Here is a 13,432-nt window from a genome sequence, read left to right as displayed (position 1 = left end):
GAGACAGGGTTTTACCATGTTGCCCAGGCTGGTCTCAAACTCCTGGGCTTAAACGATCTGCCCACCTCGGCCTCCCAAAGTGCTGGGATTCCAGGCATGAGCCACCATGCCCAGTGGAGAGCCTTCATCTTTCAGAGGCAAAGCCTGGTGGGTTTTGTGTAGAAATGACGTGCTGAGATTTGTTGTGGGACAGTTCTGAAAGTGGGTGGAGACTTTGGCAAAACAGGATTCACCTTGAGCTGATAATTATTGATCCAAGAGGTAGAATGTGTGGGATTTGTTACATTTTTATCTCTATTTTATTTGCATGTTAGAAATTTTCCATAGCAAAAACTTTAGAGATAGGAACAAAAAAATTTATGGTTCCTTTTAGCCTCCCCAAAATGGCATAGGTGTTCCAGGGTTTGCGGGCAGTGTCTGGGATGGTGTTGGAAACCACTTCACATGTGTCTGTGCACGCATCCTTGCCTTGAAAGACCCTGCTCAGATGCTGCCAGTACTCGCTGGAGTGAGAACACGGGAATGTTTTTGCCAAACAGCCTGGACCGTATCTGATTAATCTGCACGTACTTGCTTGCTGTCCTGACTTAAGTGCCGGCCGCTGACAGCCGCGTCTGTTACCAGCGCTTTCATCCATCAGGGTGTCATTTAATTAGGGGCCCACAGCCTTGTCCCTGCTCCGTGATGTGCAGGTTCAGCACAAATCCGCTTGTTCTGTGACTATCTGTGGTAGGAGAGGCATCGTGCTGTTGGTGGAGTTCTCTCTCCTAGCTCCACATAGACGCTCTGTGTGATGAGGGCCTAACTGATGACCTAGAGGGGGCAGGTGGGCTGGTCTCGCAGGTGGCCGCAGCCTGGAGTGGGGACTGCTGGGTCCTGGGCTTCCCGGGAGTCCAGTGCTCACCACACTGAAGGTCATGCTCCTGCTTTTCAGACTGGGCCAGTGCCATTCGCGTCGCAGCTCTGGACTGCATGGAAGAGAAGAACCAGGCCGTGTGCCATGACTACGACATCCACTTCTACCCCACCTTCCGGGTGAGTATCACGCGGCTGCTTGTCCGTTGAAATTCACCTTCTACCCCACCTTCCAGGTGAGCATCACGCGGCTGCTTGTCTGTTGAAATTCGCCACATCATAGTGCCTGTGTTTTCGGCTTCTCTGGCTCTCTCCTTGGAACTTCGTAGGAATTGTAGGAGCTGATGTTTGGTGGGGGCAGCTCTTGTTCCACCCTGTTGTGCTGTGGAAGTGTCTGTGGGACTGTCCACGCTCACACAGACCCGGTCACATGGAGGGGATGCGTGAAAAGACCCCCTGCAGCCTGCACGGCCAGGGGGCGCAAGGAGACCAGGACTGCGAGGGCTGGCACCCCAGCCTGAAGCCACGCGTGTGGTCCGTGTACCATGGGGCTCTCACACATGCACACTCATGCACACACACACGCACACACAGGCACAGGGCCTCTGCCTTCCCCAGCCAAAGTCAGCCCTGCAGACAAGGCTGTGCCCATTGCTCCCACTAGGGGGCGGAGGTACCTGTGACCCTGTTGCAGGCCCGTGCATAGCATGTGTGTACCTGCGGGTGCCACTGCCTCCTGCGTGCCTTGACATGGACATCTCCAGAAACGTGGGCGCCTTGGGCCCACTTCCTGGGAAGCTTTGTCAATTTGAGTAAAACTCCGTCCTTGTCAGCCCTGGTGCCTTGCTGTGTGGTGTGGTGTCATGTCATGGTGGCTTCGCTTGTATTTTGGGGGCTGTTGTTTTCACTGTGCTGGCAGCACCTGTGGTCCTGCCCTAACAGGTGCCACGCTGGGCGGCACCGGTGTCAGCCCTGCCCCAGGGCCTCTCGGGGCCTGTGTCGCACACTTGCTTGCCTGCCTCTGCGTGTGATTACGTCAGCATGGCTTCCTGTTGTATTTTGATTTTGCTTCAGACACAGTTCACACTGTGCTGTATGTAAACTTTCGGGCCCTCTTTCTGTTACTTAATGGGACATTGCCCAGATCCACTACGATGCTCATTGGATGGGATTGTCCAGTGACGTCACTCTGAGAACCAGAGCCCCCCGTTGCCAGGTGTGTGGGCTCTTCCAGGCTTTGGTGGCTTTGAACGGCGCTGCTGTGCGCCTTCCCGGGCAAGGGGAGAGCTGAGGCTGGGAGAGAAGCCACTGGGCCGCGAACCGGGTCTGTGCACAACAGACCTGCAGGGCCAGCAGTGTCAGGCAGTTTTGTGCTCGCCCAGGGACCAGTGCAGCAGGAAGCACTGGCGGCTTCGTTTGCATTTCCCTGGCGGCTGCAGTGCCAGCACATCTGGCTTTGTGGGCCGTGGGTGTCATGGGTGAAGTGTCTTCCTGTCATCTGCACGTTTCCCTCTTAGCTGGCCAGTGCTTTTCTTACCGACCTCATCTCCGCCATCATGTAACCTTGTCTCGTCGCTGTCTCTAACGTACCCTTTGATGAAGAAAGTTTTTAATGTTAACATAAGAACCTAATCATCCACTCAGAGATACTGCGTGGTGTCTCCTCCTCCTGCACATCCTCCGTGTTGTCACAGCTAACGCTACAGCTAACCATTAAGACATAGGCTCACTACCAAGTCCCAGAGAGCGGTGTCTTTTATGATTCCAGCCCAGTTGAACTGTCTTGCTTCTAGCCCTGTTGGGTCAGAAAATGTAAATGATGGGAATGCTGATTGGAGCTAACCTTAGCCCCCTCGTAAATCTGACAGGAAACATTAATATGCACAAAGACAAGGAGAAGCGTGTGGTTTGTCATTAATTTATGAAAACTTTCCGAAGGAAATTGAGTAAAGCTCCCTCTAAGGTGACGGGCGTTTTGTTGCTTAAACACATGCAGATGCCCATGGAAGGCTGCCTCTTACTTGTTCTGTGTTTTTCCTCTTAGTATTTTAAAGCATTTACAAAGGAGTTTACAACTGGAGAAAATTTTAAAGGTAAGGACATAAGCATTGTATTTTAGTCCCTGAGATTCCCCTCATAAACCTGCTAAAGACACACGGTCCCAGAGCCTGGGGAGCTCCCAGCCTGGGTCAGCACCTTTCCCTCTGCTGACCTTCCTGCCTGCTTTCCCTTAAGAGTTCAGATATTAATAGTTTCAAAGAGAAATTTTAATTTTGTGCTTTGCCTTGCTTGGCAAATATTGTAGTAAAAACTTTTTCAGAGTAAATTTTTTATTGTAAAAATATTTGGAGATGTGCACAGATCACATGTACCCACCCGATGAATTTTTACAAATGATCCCACCCAGCCGAGCATCGCCCAGAGTGTGATCAGACCCCGCAGGCCACACCCTGGGGGGCTCTGCCTGTGAGGGACCCGGTGGAGCTGCCTGGCCTGCTCCTCGCCGCGCCCTGGGGGGGCTCTGCCTGTGAGTGACCCAGTGGAGCCGCCTGGCCTGCTCCTCGCAGTGCCGTGTCTTGCCATCTGCCTCTGTTGCCTGTCCCTGTGGCCCACCCATGCTTGTGTCATTGCTGTGTGGTCTCCAGTTGTGTGAATCCAGCGCTGTCTGTACCACGCCTGTGGGTGGCATTGGGCACACCCATTGGGATTGCACATGTTGCTGCCACCTGCACCCTGCTGTCTTTGGGCCCCAGGCTGGGACGGGGCTGCTGTCCCTGGGTGTATGCCTGCCCCACGAGGACAGCCGCACACACAGCTCTGACCCTGGTGTGCTTCCGGCAGGACCTGACCGAGAGCTGCGAACAGTCAGACAGACGATGATTGACTTCCTGCAGAACCACACGGAAGGAAGCCGGCCCCCTGCCTGCCCGCGCCTAGACCCCATTCAGTGAGTAGCTCCATGAAGAAGGCGGCCGTTAGACTCGTGTTGAACTGTGCAAGAAACGTAATAGGTTTCTATTAAGTGATGTGGCCACTGGGATGTGGTGGCCAACTCGCTGCTGTTGACGGCACTAAAAGCCTCTTTTTTTCCTCTTGAAAGGCCCAGTGATGTTCTTTCCCTTCTTGACAACCGTGGCAGCCATTACGTGGCTATTGTCTTTGAAAGCAACAGCTCCTACCTTGGACGGGAGGTACGGCCTCTGCGTGGGCTCCAGGTGTCACACGTGGTGTGATTGGGGTTGGCGGTGGATCTGTGATGAGATTTGCAGGTGCCGGTCACTGTGTCGGCATCTCGTGTCCTGTCTGTGGCTTTAGGTCTTGTTCATTATCAGAAGCTTAGTTAATGTTACTCAGCAAAGTCACTGGTGTCTGGAGAAGACTGTTAGGATGAATGAGCTTGGCGGTGGGAGGGGTTCAGAAGGTGGCCTAACCCTAGGTTTGAAACTAAGAGGGGGCTTTGCAGAAGATCTCATTTTTATGACACGCCCAGCTCACCTTGAGGTCATTCTGTATTTTGTATGCATTATTACTAAGATTTTTTTCGTTGCCGTATTCTGAACTCTCAACATTTTTGCCAAATCCAAGATTCTGTAAAACGTCGTTTCTATCGTCATACTTTGATTTCACACGTACAGTTCTGAAGCCTTGCTTCTGGCCAAGTCTAAATAAGGTCCAGGGACCAGGTGCAGGGGCAGCTCACGGAGAGTCATTATTGCTGACAGTCTTCCCGGAGACGAGAGAAAGGCCTCACTGCACATGCGTTCGCCCAGCACTCACCCTGAGCTTCTCCTCCTCCTCCTTGCAACTTGATAGGCGACTGTTTTTCTGTCCACTGTGAGGGGCCTTGCGGTGAATGTAGGAAACAGCTTTGCCCCTGCGAGGGCTTTTGGAGACGCACTTGGGAAGGCAGCTGCAGACACCTGCACTGTGACCGTCTCGCTTTGTGCCCTGGCTGCCCTCCTGGCACCCCAGCACCGCCCCCTCCAGGTTTGATGGTGACGCCAGGCTGCCTCCAGATGGTTGGCCAGGATTCTCTGTGGAGGGCTGAGGAACCGCTAGCAGTGTGTGGCTCTCCCAGACCCCTCACCCCTGTCCCAAGGCCCCTCGTGCCCTTGCTGTCTCGGGCGGGGCCTCCACACACGCAGACCAGAGGCAGGTGTTCCCCTGAGAAGAGGCGGGTGTGGGACCGTCTTGGTGCCGGGCACGCTCCCCTACCTGCCTGGCATGCTGGTGCGTTCGGGGCAGCCAGGCTCCACTCGTGCAGGAGGAGTGCTCTTCAGCACAGAGTCACGGCATGGCCCAGAGCAGAGACCAGTGTGGCCCCAGAGTAGCGATCAGCTCTTCGCAGACACACCCAGCTCAGGAGAGGCACGGCCACGCGGGGCGCCCAGTTCACACCTTTAGCCAGGGCCCTTGGTTTGAGGAGCAGCTGGTTTTGTTCCTCTGTTAAGAGAAGGAAAGACGTACGCCCGATGTGGTGGTGGCGCACGCAGGGTTTCTTCCAAAATCCTGAGATGCCACTCCTGTGGTCTCTCTGCCACGGAGACCCTGTTGCTGCCCCTTCAGCCTGAGCAGAACCAGACAGGAGCAGGGTGGCTGGGGAGGAGCGGCAGCACGAGGCCTGCTGCCCCGGCCACGAAGCTTCCACACGCGGGACGGGAGTGCGAGGCCGTGGGGTGTGGCTGCTGTGTGCAGGGACTCACTTGACCAGTATCAGTGTTGTGGGGGGCGCGCTGGTTTTAGAAAGTCAAGTGCAAATTCGCGGATAAGTGTTTTCTTTGATGAGTTTGTAAAATTGCCGAATAAGACCGTGGTTTCTGCTCATGGCGTGTGTGCCGTCAGTTGCCTTAAAGTGCAATGAGAGTGAAGATTTGAGTGAGGGTCTTGCCTGCAGGGGGACAGACTTCATGCCCTTTTGTGAAAGGTTCCCTGCAAGGCCATGTGTCTGCACGTCGTGTTTTCTGAGAAACTGCCAGCCCCTGTGGAAGTGTCATTGTGTTCTCATCCCCCAGGTGATCTTAGACCTGATCCCGTATGAAAGCATCGTGGTGACCCGAGCACTGGACGGGGACAAAGCATTTCTGGAGAAACTTGGTGTTTCTTCAGTCCCTTCGTGTTACCTGATCTACCCAAATGGGTCGCATGGATTGATTAACGTGTGAGTGCCCGGGTGGGGTCTGGGAACTCCGTGCCGCTCGGAGTTACCGGACAGAGGCTCCGAGTAGACAGTGCAAGTCTGGTGTGAGATCGGGGGAGCCCTGGCCCCTCCGCCTCGCTTCCCTGGGCAGATTTGGGCCCTGGCTCTCAGCCCGTGGGTATTGCTGATCTGTGCTGTGTTTTCGTGGATTTCTGTTTTCTCACTGCTGTGTCCCCGCACCTAGGAGGAGCCTGGCGTGGTGACTTACCAAGAGTCGCAGAGGAAACCGTGGCTAAACCAGCACATGCATGAGGGCTGCTGGGCCGGGGCTTTGGGAGCAGCCGATGCTCCTAAAACCCTGCTCTGGGTGGACTCTTGGGATGCAGTTTGGGTCTGTGTCTGGGGCTGGCAGACAAGCCCACGTGCCCACCTCTGCAGAATGAGAAGTAGGGGTGGGCACCAGGCCCTGCCCCTCACGTTCTGCTCTTTCTCTAAGAACTGCAGAACCTTGGCAAGCCCTTTGCCTCTGCGTGGGGTGCCCGTGTGCCCCTCATGAGGATAAGCCCTTCGCCCCTGCGTGGGGTGCCTGTGTGCCCCTCATGAGGATAAGCCCTTTGCCCCTGCGTGGGGTGCCCGTGTGCCCCTCATGAGGATAAGCCCTTCGCCCCTGCGTGGAGTGCCTGTGTGCCCCTCATGAGGATAAGCCCTTTGCCTCTGTGTGGAGTGCCTGTGTGCCCCTCATGAGGATAAGCCCTTTGCCTCTGCGTGGAGTGCCTGTGTGCCCCTCGGATAAGCCCAATGAAAAAGTAAACAACTTGAATCAGGTTAGAAAAAGAACAGTGAGAAAAATGAGGCTGGGCACAGGTGAATCATTTGAGTCTAGGAGTTCCAGACCAGCCTGGGCAACATAGTAAGACCCCATCTATACTAAAAAAAAGACTAGCCAGGTCTGGTGGTGTGCCACTGTAGTCCCAGCTACTCAGGAGGCTGAGGTGGGAGGATCACTTGAGCCTCAAAGGTCAAGGCTGCAATGAGCTGAGATCCTGTCACCGCACTCCAGCCTGGGCGACAGAGTCAGACTCCATCTCAAAAAAAAAAGAAAGAAAATGAAAAATGGTTGAGAAAGTTAAGTAACGTCCTGAGGCTGGAGGGGCCCCGCTCCTCCTCACCTTGGGGAGAAGGACAGCGTGAGGAGAAGGACAGCGTGAGGCTAGCCTGCCCTACACTGGGTGGCCCCTTCCCCTGGCCTGAAGTTGCAGCACCTGCAGGCTTCCAGCATGTGCTGGTTTAGCCACGGTTGACTCTGCGGCTCTTGGTGACTCACCACGCCGGGCTCCGAGGTGCAGGGACACAGCAGTGAGAAGATAGGACGTGTTTCCTGTCTCTTGGGGCTTCCAGTTCAGCCTCCTCAAAGATCGACTGGGGCATAGAGGGCGCCTTACAGAAGCCCAGAACACCGCAGTTTCTTAAGTATTTTTCTTTCCTTTTGAAAAAGAGGCCAGGCTCACACCTGTAATCCCAGCACTTTCAGAGGCTGAGATGAGAGGATTACTTGAGCCCAGGAGTCTGAGACCAGCCCAGGTTGATAGTGAGACTCCAGCCTATGACAAATAAAACATTAGCCGGGCGTGGTGGAGTATGTCTGTGGCTACATCTACTCAAGGGGCTGAGGTGGGAGGATCATTTGAGCCCAGGAGGTTGAGGCTGCAGTGAGCTGAAATTGCACCACTGCACTCCAGCCTGGGCAACAGAGAAAGATCCTGTCTCAAAAATAGATAAATGAGTGAAAATACAAAAGATAAAGCTGGAATTCAGGGTAACCACAGAGGCCATTGAGCTTGTTGGGAGATGCTCTGAGTGCTTGGGGGCCTGGCTCTGCCAACGAGGTGGCCCATTCCAGGCCTGGGGCACAGCACTGCACTTGGCAGAGCGGCCTGAACCACTCCCAGATGTTTGTTTAGTGTTAAAAGTATCATCTAGACAACTTCTTAGTGTCAAATAATGTTAATATTTTTATAGATATTTTAATGTTTTTGCAAATAGCACTGCTACATTCTGTCTTTGGAAACAAGCTCCACGTCACACTGAAGTGCTCAATAATGGCATTGAGGGTGTCCTCAGAAGGCAGCTCCACCCTGTCCACACAGCGTGGGCACACAGGGGGCTCAGCTCCACCCTGTCCACACAGGGTGGGCACGCAGGGAGCTCAGGGGCCTGACATCAGGGAGGGGCTGACGTCCACCCCAGGCCCCGACTTCCAGATGCCTCACTCAGGGCTGGCAGATTGTGGGCGCGTCGGTGAAGGCTCTTAGGCGTGTTGGAAATCGCAGTCAGAATAAAGCTCATCTTGGCAGATGCTCAACCCAGCTTTACAAAACGCCTTAAGGTCCCCACAAACATAAATGAGTCATAGTACTTATTACAACTGGAACTGGTTGTAAATCTGTGGATTTGGTGTGTCTCCTCTTATCCCCCAGGTGGAAGCGCAGCCGGAGCCCAGGCGGGGTGTCAGCTGTTCCCACTGACTCCCATGCCCCAATAAATGCCCAAAGGATGAAAGGGGTGGCCCAGAGCTGTCCTGAATGCCACGGCTCCTACTTTAGGATTTTATAAAGGAGGCTCTTCTCACCTTTGCCCTCCCCTCTCTCACAGCGTGAAGCCTCTGCGGGCCTTCTTTTCGTCTTATTTGAAGTCATTGCCGGATGTGAGGAAAAAATCGCTTCCCTTGCCTGAAAAGCCACACAAAGAAGAAAATTCAGAAATCGTGGTTTGGAGAGAATTTGACAAGCAAGTGTTCCTCTTGAACTGAAGCCCCCGGAGACAGTGCGTGTAGACCGAAGGCTGCGTGCTTGCAGGGCGGGTTTACTCAGAAACCCACCCCAGCCAGTGAGGGCCGCTCAGGAGCCCTCCCAGGGGCCCTGGGAGTCCGTGGGGAGGAGCCAGGACAGGGAGACTTGCTGTGGAGGGAAAGGTTGGGCATTCCCTGACGCTGCCATATCCCGTCCTAGGTCGAAGCTGTACACGGTGGACCTGGAGTCAGGGCTACACTACCTCCTGCGGGTGGAGCTGGCAGCCCACAAGTCCCTGGCCGGAGCAGAGCTGAAGACGCTCAAGGACTTTGTGACTGTCTTGGCCAAGGTTTGGGACGGTGCTGGTCTGGGCTGCATGTGGGAATTTGGCTCTGCACAGAGTGGGCCCTGGGGGGCGTCGGACACTGCGGGGGCTCCGCCAGCTCCGCTGAGGTGCTCTCCACCTTGCTTTGTCGCCCAGGCCCACGCCCCAACTCATTCCACCCATTTCCCGAGTGCCTCCTGCGTCCACTGCTGTTCCCAGCACTGGGGCTGGGGCGGTGGGTGTAGAGAGGGGCGGGGGTGTGAGCCGAGCACCTGCTGGAAAAGCCCAGCTCTGGCTGCCTGGAGAGTAGATGGAGGAGGGAGCGGAGGCCCACACACACCTCAGCTGGCTCTCAGAGGAGCGCTGCACGGGGGCTGGGGGGAGAGAGAGAGGGAGAGGCAAGGGCTGTGCAGATCCAGGTGGGGTGTGCATCTGCCCCACCAGCCAGGTTCAGGGAGGGGTCCTGGGAGCTTCACGCTCAGCACCATCACCAGCACAGATGTGGTGTCTGAGACCACTGAGGGGGTCGCCAGGAGCGGGCAGAGATGCCACCCAACAGAGCTCAGGCCTGGCCGTGCCCAGGGTCAGGCTGAAGAGGACCAGCCAGGGAGGTGGCCAGGTGTAACTCCATGAGCTCGGTTGCTTGTTACTGTCTAAATGACAAGAAGGCTTAGGCTTAAAATATTTATCTTGCCAAAAATAAGATGCATGATAGAATAATTTATAGTGAGCACTTTGGATAGAGTTTACTTACAAAGTGATTTGTGAAAAGTACAGGAAATCTTGAAGGACTGGAGGTGCCTCAGATGAATGCATGAACATTGCCCAGGCAGCTTTTTCCCCCACGGTGCCATCCAGAGTTCAGAAATCTCTAGCTGGCCTCATTTCCTTTAAGAAAGTGTCCTGCTAATCTGTCCATCATATTAGTGGAGGACAGTGTGGCTCTTAGTGGTGGTGGCCGCCGGCCAGCTAATTCGCTGGAGTCGCACAGCTGTCGCTAGGCAGACCTGCTCTCCTCTCCCGGCTTCTCCGTCTTCCCCTTAGTCTAGTTAGGCTTGGAGCTTTTACACTTGTGCTCTGGGCAACTCCTGAGGCCAGGGTATTAATAAGTTATTCTTAATATTTTTCTGAAGTTTACTTGGATGTCTAAAATAAATTTGATTCTGGTAAATTAATCATGGTACTTTTTAACCTGCACGGGAGAAAATATATTGGACTGAGCTGAAGATGCCGGCGTTTCTGGTCTGGCATCGCCACCTGTGAGCTTCAGCTCGGGTTTGAGGAACTCTTTTGGTGGCTGGTGTTTCTGGTCTGGCATTGCCACCCGTGAGATTTCAGCTCGGGTTTTCGGAGCTCTTTCGGCAGCCTATGTTTTGCACAGTTTGTGGTGCAGCAGCTGATCAGAGTTTCTCCTAAAAAGACAGAGCCCTGGGATCTTCTCAGCCAGACGCCTCCCCAAGCTGTGTTGATGTCGGCCAGCCTCACGGCCCACACAAGCCCATAGGCAGTTAGCCCCGGCTGCCGGCGCATGTGCACTGCCGCGCGCCCTTCATACAGTCAGTGACGGCAGAGGGGAAGCCCAGCGGGCGGGCAGGCGGGGTCAGCACAGCTCCTCGTGAGGAAGGCAGAATAAATCAGCAAGCCCCCGCCAGCTCCATGATGAGTCACACACCGTGACCTTGCCTGTCACCTGGCCGGAGCGAGGCCGTGGGCGCAGGTGGGTGAGCTGCAGGCACGGGCTGGAGAAAGGCATGGCCGTGGGCACAGGCTGTCCTGGGGAGAGGCGCAGGCTAGATGCCCACCCCATGGCCCCTTGGGTTTCCTGCCTCCCATCAGAGAAACCCGAGTTATGAGAGGCCCCATCCTAGGTTCAGCCCCTCTGCGGATGGAGTGCTTCTCTTTGGAGGTGCGGTGCCCCCCGCGGTGGGGGCGGGCCCGGGTTTGGGTCTGTAGCTCTCAGGTGGCTCCTTCCTCATGCAGCTGTTCCCTGGACGGCCGCCAGTCAAGAAGCTGTTGGAGATGCTGCAGGAGTGGCTGGCCAGCCTTCCCCTGGACAGGATCCCCTACAACGCCGTGCTTGACCTGGTCAACAACAAGATGCGGGTGAGCCCCAGAACCCTCGCCAGCCACGCTGCACCCTCCTTCCCTCGCCTTCCTTCCCTTGCCCTTAGCTGGTGCATCTCCCTGCTCGGGGCCCGGGCTCCGCTGTGAGGAAGGGGAGCAGTGACTTACTGTCTCCACGACAGCATCATGGCCATGGCCTCCTGTCTGCCTTGGCAGCGTCATGCTGGGACTTCAGTTTAAGGACAGCTCACCAAAAGTGCACTGTGACCACCTGTCCTTTGGACAAAATGGGGTTTTCTCAAGCAACGTAGTAGTTGGGCTTTTTAAATTTTTAGTAAGCCAATCTGACGAAAACTGATGTATTCAGTAAGTGTGGCAGCCTTTCCAGAGCTTTCCCCAAGACCAGGTGCCAGCAGGTGCCAGTCTTTGCTCAGGGGACCAGCACCCCAAGAGGTCCTGGCACTCCGTCCTGCCATTCCCTCCTTAGTCCAGATCAGCAGCTTCTCTGTGGCCCCCAGAGTGTTTACTCGCGGGCAGTAAACCCAGCGTGCTGCTTGTCCGACGCCCGCGTGGTCAGTGCACACAGCAGATCTTCTGGGAATCCTGTAAGGTGCACTTGTCGTGCCGTGATTTTGCCAGCTTTGTCATTTGCTGGCTGCAGCTGAGAAGCAGACGGTGCCGGGCTTCTTGCCTGAGTCTGTCTTCCACCTTGACTCTACTCCGAGCTCGAGGTCATGGGAGCACTCTCACGTGACTGCGACGTGTGACATCTCCCTCGAGAGCACGTCCTGGGCTCAGGAGTCCTTAGGGAGGAAAAGGTTGATGAGACACGAAACCAAACCCAGCGGAATCTGCCTGGGGCTCTCAGCCCTCCCAGTCCAGCAGTCACCCACTCTGATGGCCACCCTATTGCTTTTTCAAAGTGAACACACCTTGTTTGTTCTGGCCAAGAATTATTTGACAGTTGAGCTTTTTTCTGTTGTTAGTTGCCTTTTCTCTTAATACTGTCCTTACAACTAATTCTAATTTAAAAGAAAAGGTGGATACATTTTATGCTTAATATTACTGGTTTATCAAGATACAGAAGAACTGTCTCTTCAGAGATTGGCTTGAGAGCTCCTTTAGTAAAGGAGACCATTTCCTCTCTTTTGTTTTATTGAATTTAAATTTGCATATGGTAGGAGGCACAGATCTTATGTGTACAGTTGATACAGCTTCAGTAAACCACACCCCCATTATCCACCCCCCCCAGTCAAGAAGGCAGCTGTCGACTGTTTTTAATTTCAACAATTATCTTTTATTCTTTGGGGTTTTTTTGTTTGTTTGTTTTTCAGATTTCTGGAATATTCCTTACTAATCACATAAAGTGGGTTGGATGTCAAGGAAGCCGATCTGAGTTGAGGGGTTACCCGTGTTCTCTCTGGAAACTGTTCCACACTTTGACTGTTGAAGCCTCGACCCACCCAGATGCACTGGTTGGCACAGGTAAGCTGTGCCCATACAGGCCAGAGGGGCCGATGGTCTGCCTAACAAGTTAACCCAGCCGGTGTGTGCAAAGGCATGTACTGCTGTATGGGAGGCAGCATGTCGCCAGGCCACTGAGGCAGGGGAATGGCACTTCAGACTCCTCTCACACGGTCAGCTCACCCAGGGCTGTGGCTGCGGGGGCACGAGTTCCCCTTGTCAGAACTCGCAAGGATGTGCATGGCTAACGTGCAGGAAATAAACCATAAAGAAGAAAGAGTGCTGGCTGGGAGTTTCCCTGCAGTGTAAACTCCCTGTTTTTTGCTTTAAAAAGACAGAATAAGTGAAATCTGTTTGGAGAGGTGTTCTCATTATCAGCTGTTGTATAACAAATCACCCCAAAATTTAGCAGCCAGAACCACGGGAACCACGCACGGTTATGAGCTCATGGTTTCTGAGGGCCGGGCATGGCCTCATCTGGGTCCTCTTCTTCAGGATTGGTCAGGCTGCAGTCGGAGTGTCAGCTGGGCCTGGGGGGTCACCCAAGGCCCACCTGGGGAGAGTGGCTTCCCAGCACCCTCATGGGGCAGAGAGCAGGGCCTGCCTCCTTGCACGTGGCTTGCCTAAGGCCCTGAGCTCCATGCTGGCTGTTGACTGCAGGCCACGCTCAGGGCCTCTCCATCGGGCGGCTCACATCATGGCAGCAAGCCTCATCAGCAAGCCAGTGAGAGGGTGCCTATCCGAGGATGATATTCCATCACCTCTGTCAGATTCTGCTTACTAGTCAGTCCCCAGGCC

The 13,432-nt window shown here is 54.5% G+C and overlaps 1 protein-coding gene across 1 annotated transcript in view, besides 4 other annotated features; it reads left to right on the top strand.

Annotated features, from left to right (window-relative positions):
• The window catches only part of QSOX2 (quiescin sulfhydryl oxidase 2), a 39,480-nt gene that overhangs the window by 18,004 nt on the left and 8,044 nt on the right, over window positions 1-13,432 (top strand). Inside the window, exons 2-10 of the mRNA NM_181701.4 lie at window positions 935-1,035; window positions 2,900-2,948; window positions 3,697-3,802; window positions 3,956-4,046; window positions 5,868-6,013; window positions 8,645-8,779; window positions 9,001-9,130; window positions 11,087-11,209; window positions 12,505-12,655. Coding sequence (NP_859052.3) covers window positions 935-1,035; window positions 2,900-2,948; window positions 3,697-3,802; window positions 3,956-4,046; window positions 5,868-6,013; window positions 8,645-8,779; window positions 9,001-9,130; window positions 11,087-11,209; window positions 12,505-12,655 — 1,032 coding nt within the window. The remainder of the gene's footprint in view (window positions 1-934; window positions 1,036-2,899; window positions 2,949-3,696; window positions 3,803-3,955; window positions 4,047-5,867; window positions 6,014-8,644; window positions 8,780-9,000; window positions 9,131-11,086; window positions 11,210-12,504; window positions 12,656-13,432) is intronic.
• Window positions 1,765-1,984: an enhancer, noted in NCBI's record as "active region_29302". NCBI's record gives its function as "activates an Ori minimal core promoter by ATAC-STARR-seq in GM12878 lymphoblastoid cells {active_cell/tissue: GM12878}" and the evidence as "EXISTENCE:reporter gene assay evidence [ECO:0000049][PMID:35858748]".
• Window positions 2,115-2,194: an enhancer, noted in NCBI's record as "active region_29301". NCBI's record gives its function as "activates an Ori minimal core promoter by ATAC-STARR-seq in GM12878 lymphoblastoid cells {active_cell/tissue: GM12878}" and the evidence as "EXISTENCE:reporter gene assay evidence [ECO:0000049][PMID:35858748]".
• Window positions 2,375-2,424: an enhancer, noted in NCBI's record as "active region_29300". NCBI's record gives its function as "activates an Ori minimal core promoter by ATAC-STARR-seq in GM12878 lymphoblastoid cells {active_cell/tissue: GM12878}" and the evidence as "EXISTENCE:reporter gene assay evidence [ECO:0000049][PMID:35858748]".
• Window positions 11,299-11,802: an enhancer, noted in NCBI's record as "H3K4me1 hESC enhancer chr9:139107853-139108356 (GRCh37/hg19 assembly coordinates)". NCBI's record gives its function as "activates a minimal SCP1, AML or CMV promoter by ChIP-STARR-seq in naive H9 embryonic stem cells {active_cell/tissue: H9 hESC(naive)}" and the evidence as "EXISTENCE:reporter gene assay evidence [ECO:0000049][PMID:30033119]".

Source organism: Homo sapiens, chromosome 9, assembly GCF_000001405.40.
Source record: "Homo sapiens chromosome 9, GRCh38.p14 Primary Assembly".
NCBI lineage: Eukaryota > Metazoa > Chordata > Mammalia > Primates > Hominidae > Homo > Homo sapiens.
The sequence above is the reverse complement of the archived record's forward strand: the minus strand, read 5'-3'. Positions and strand labels throughout refer to the sequence as shown.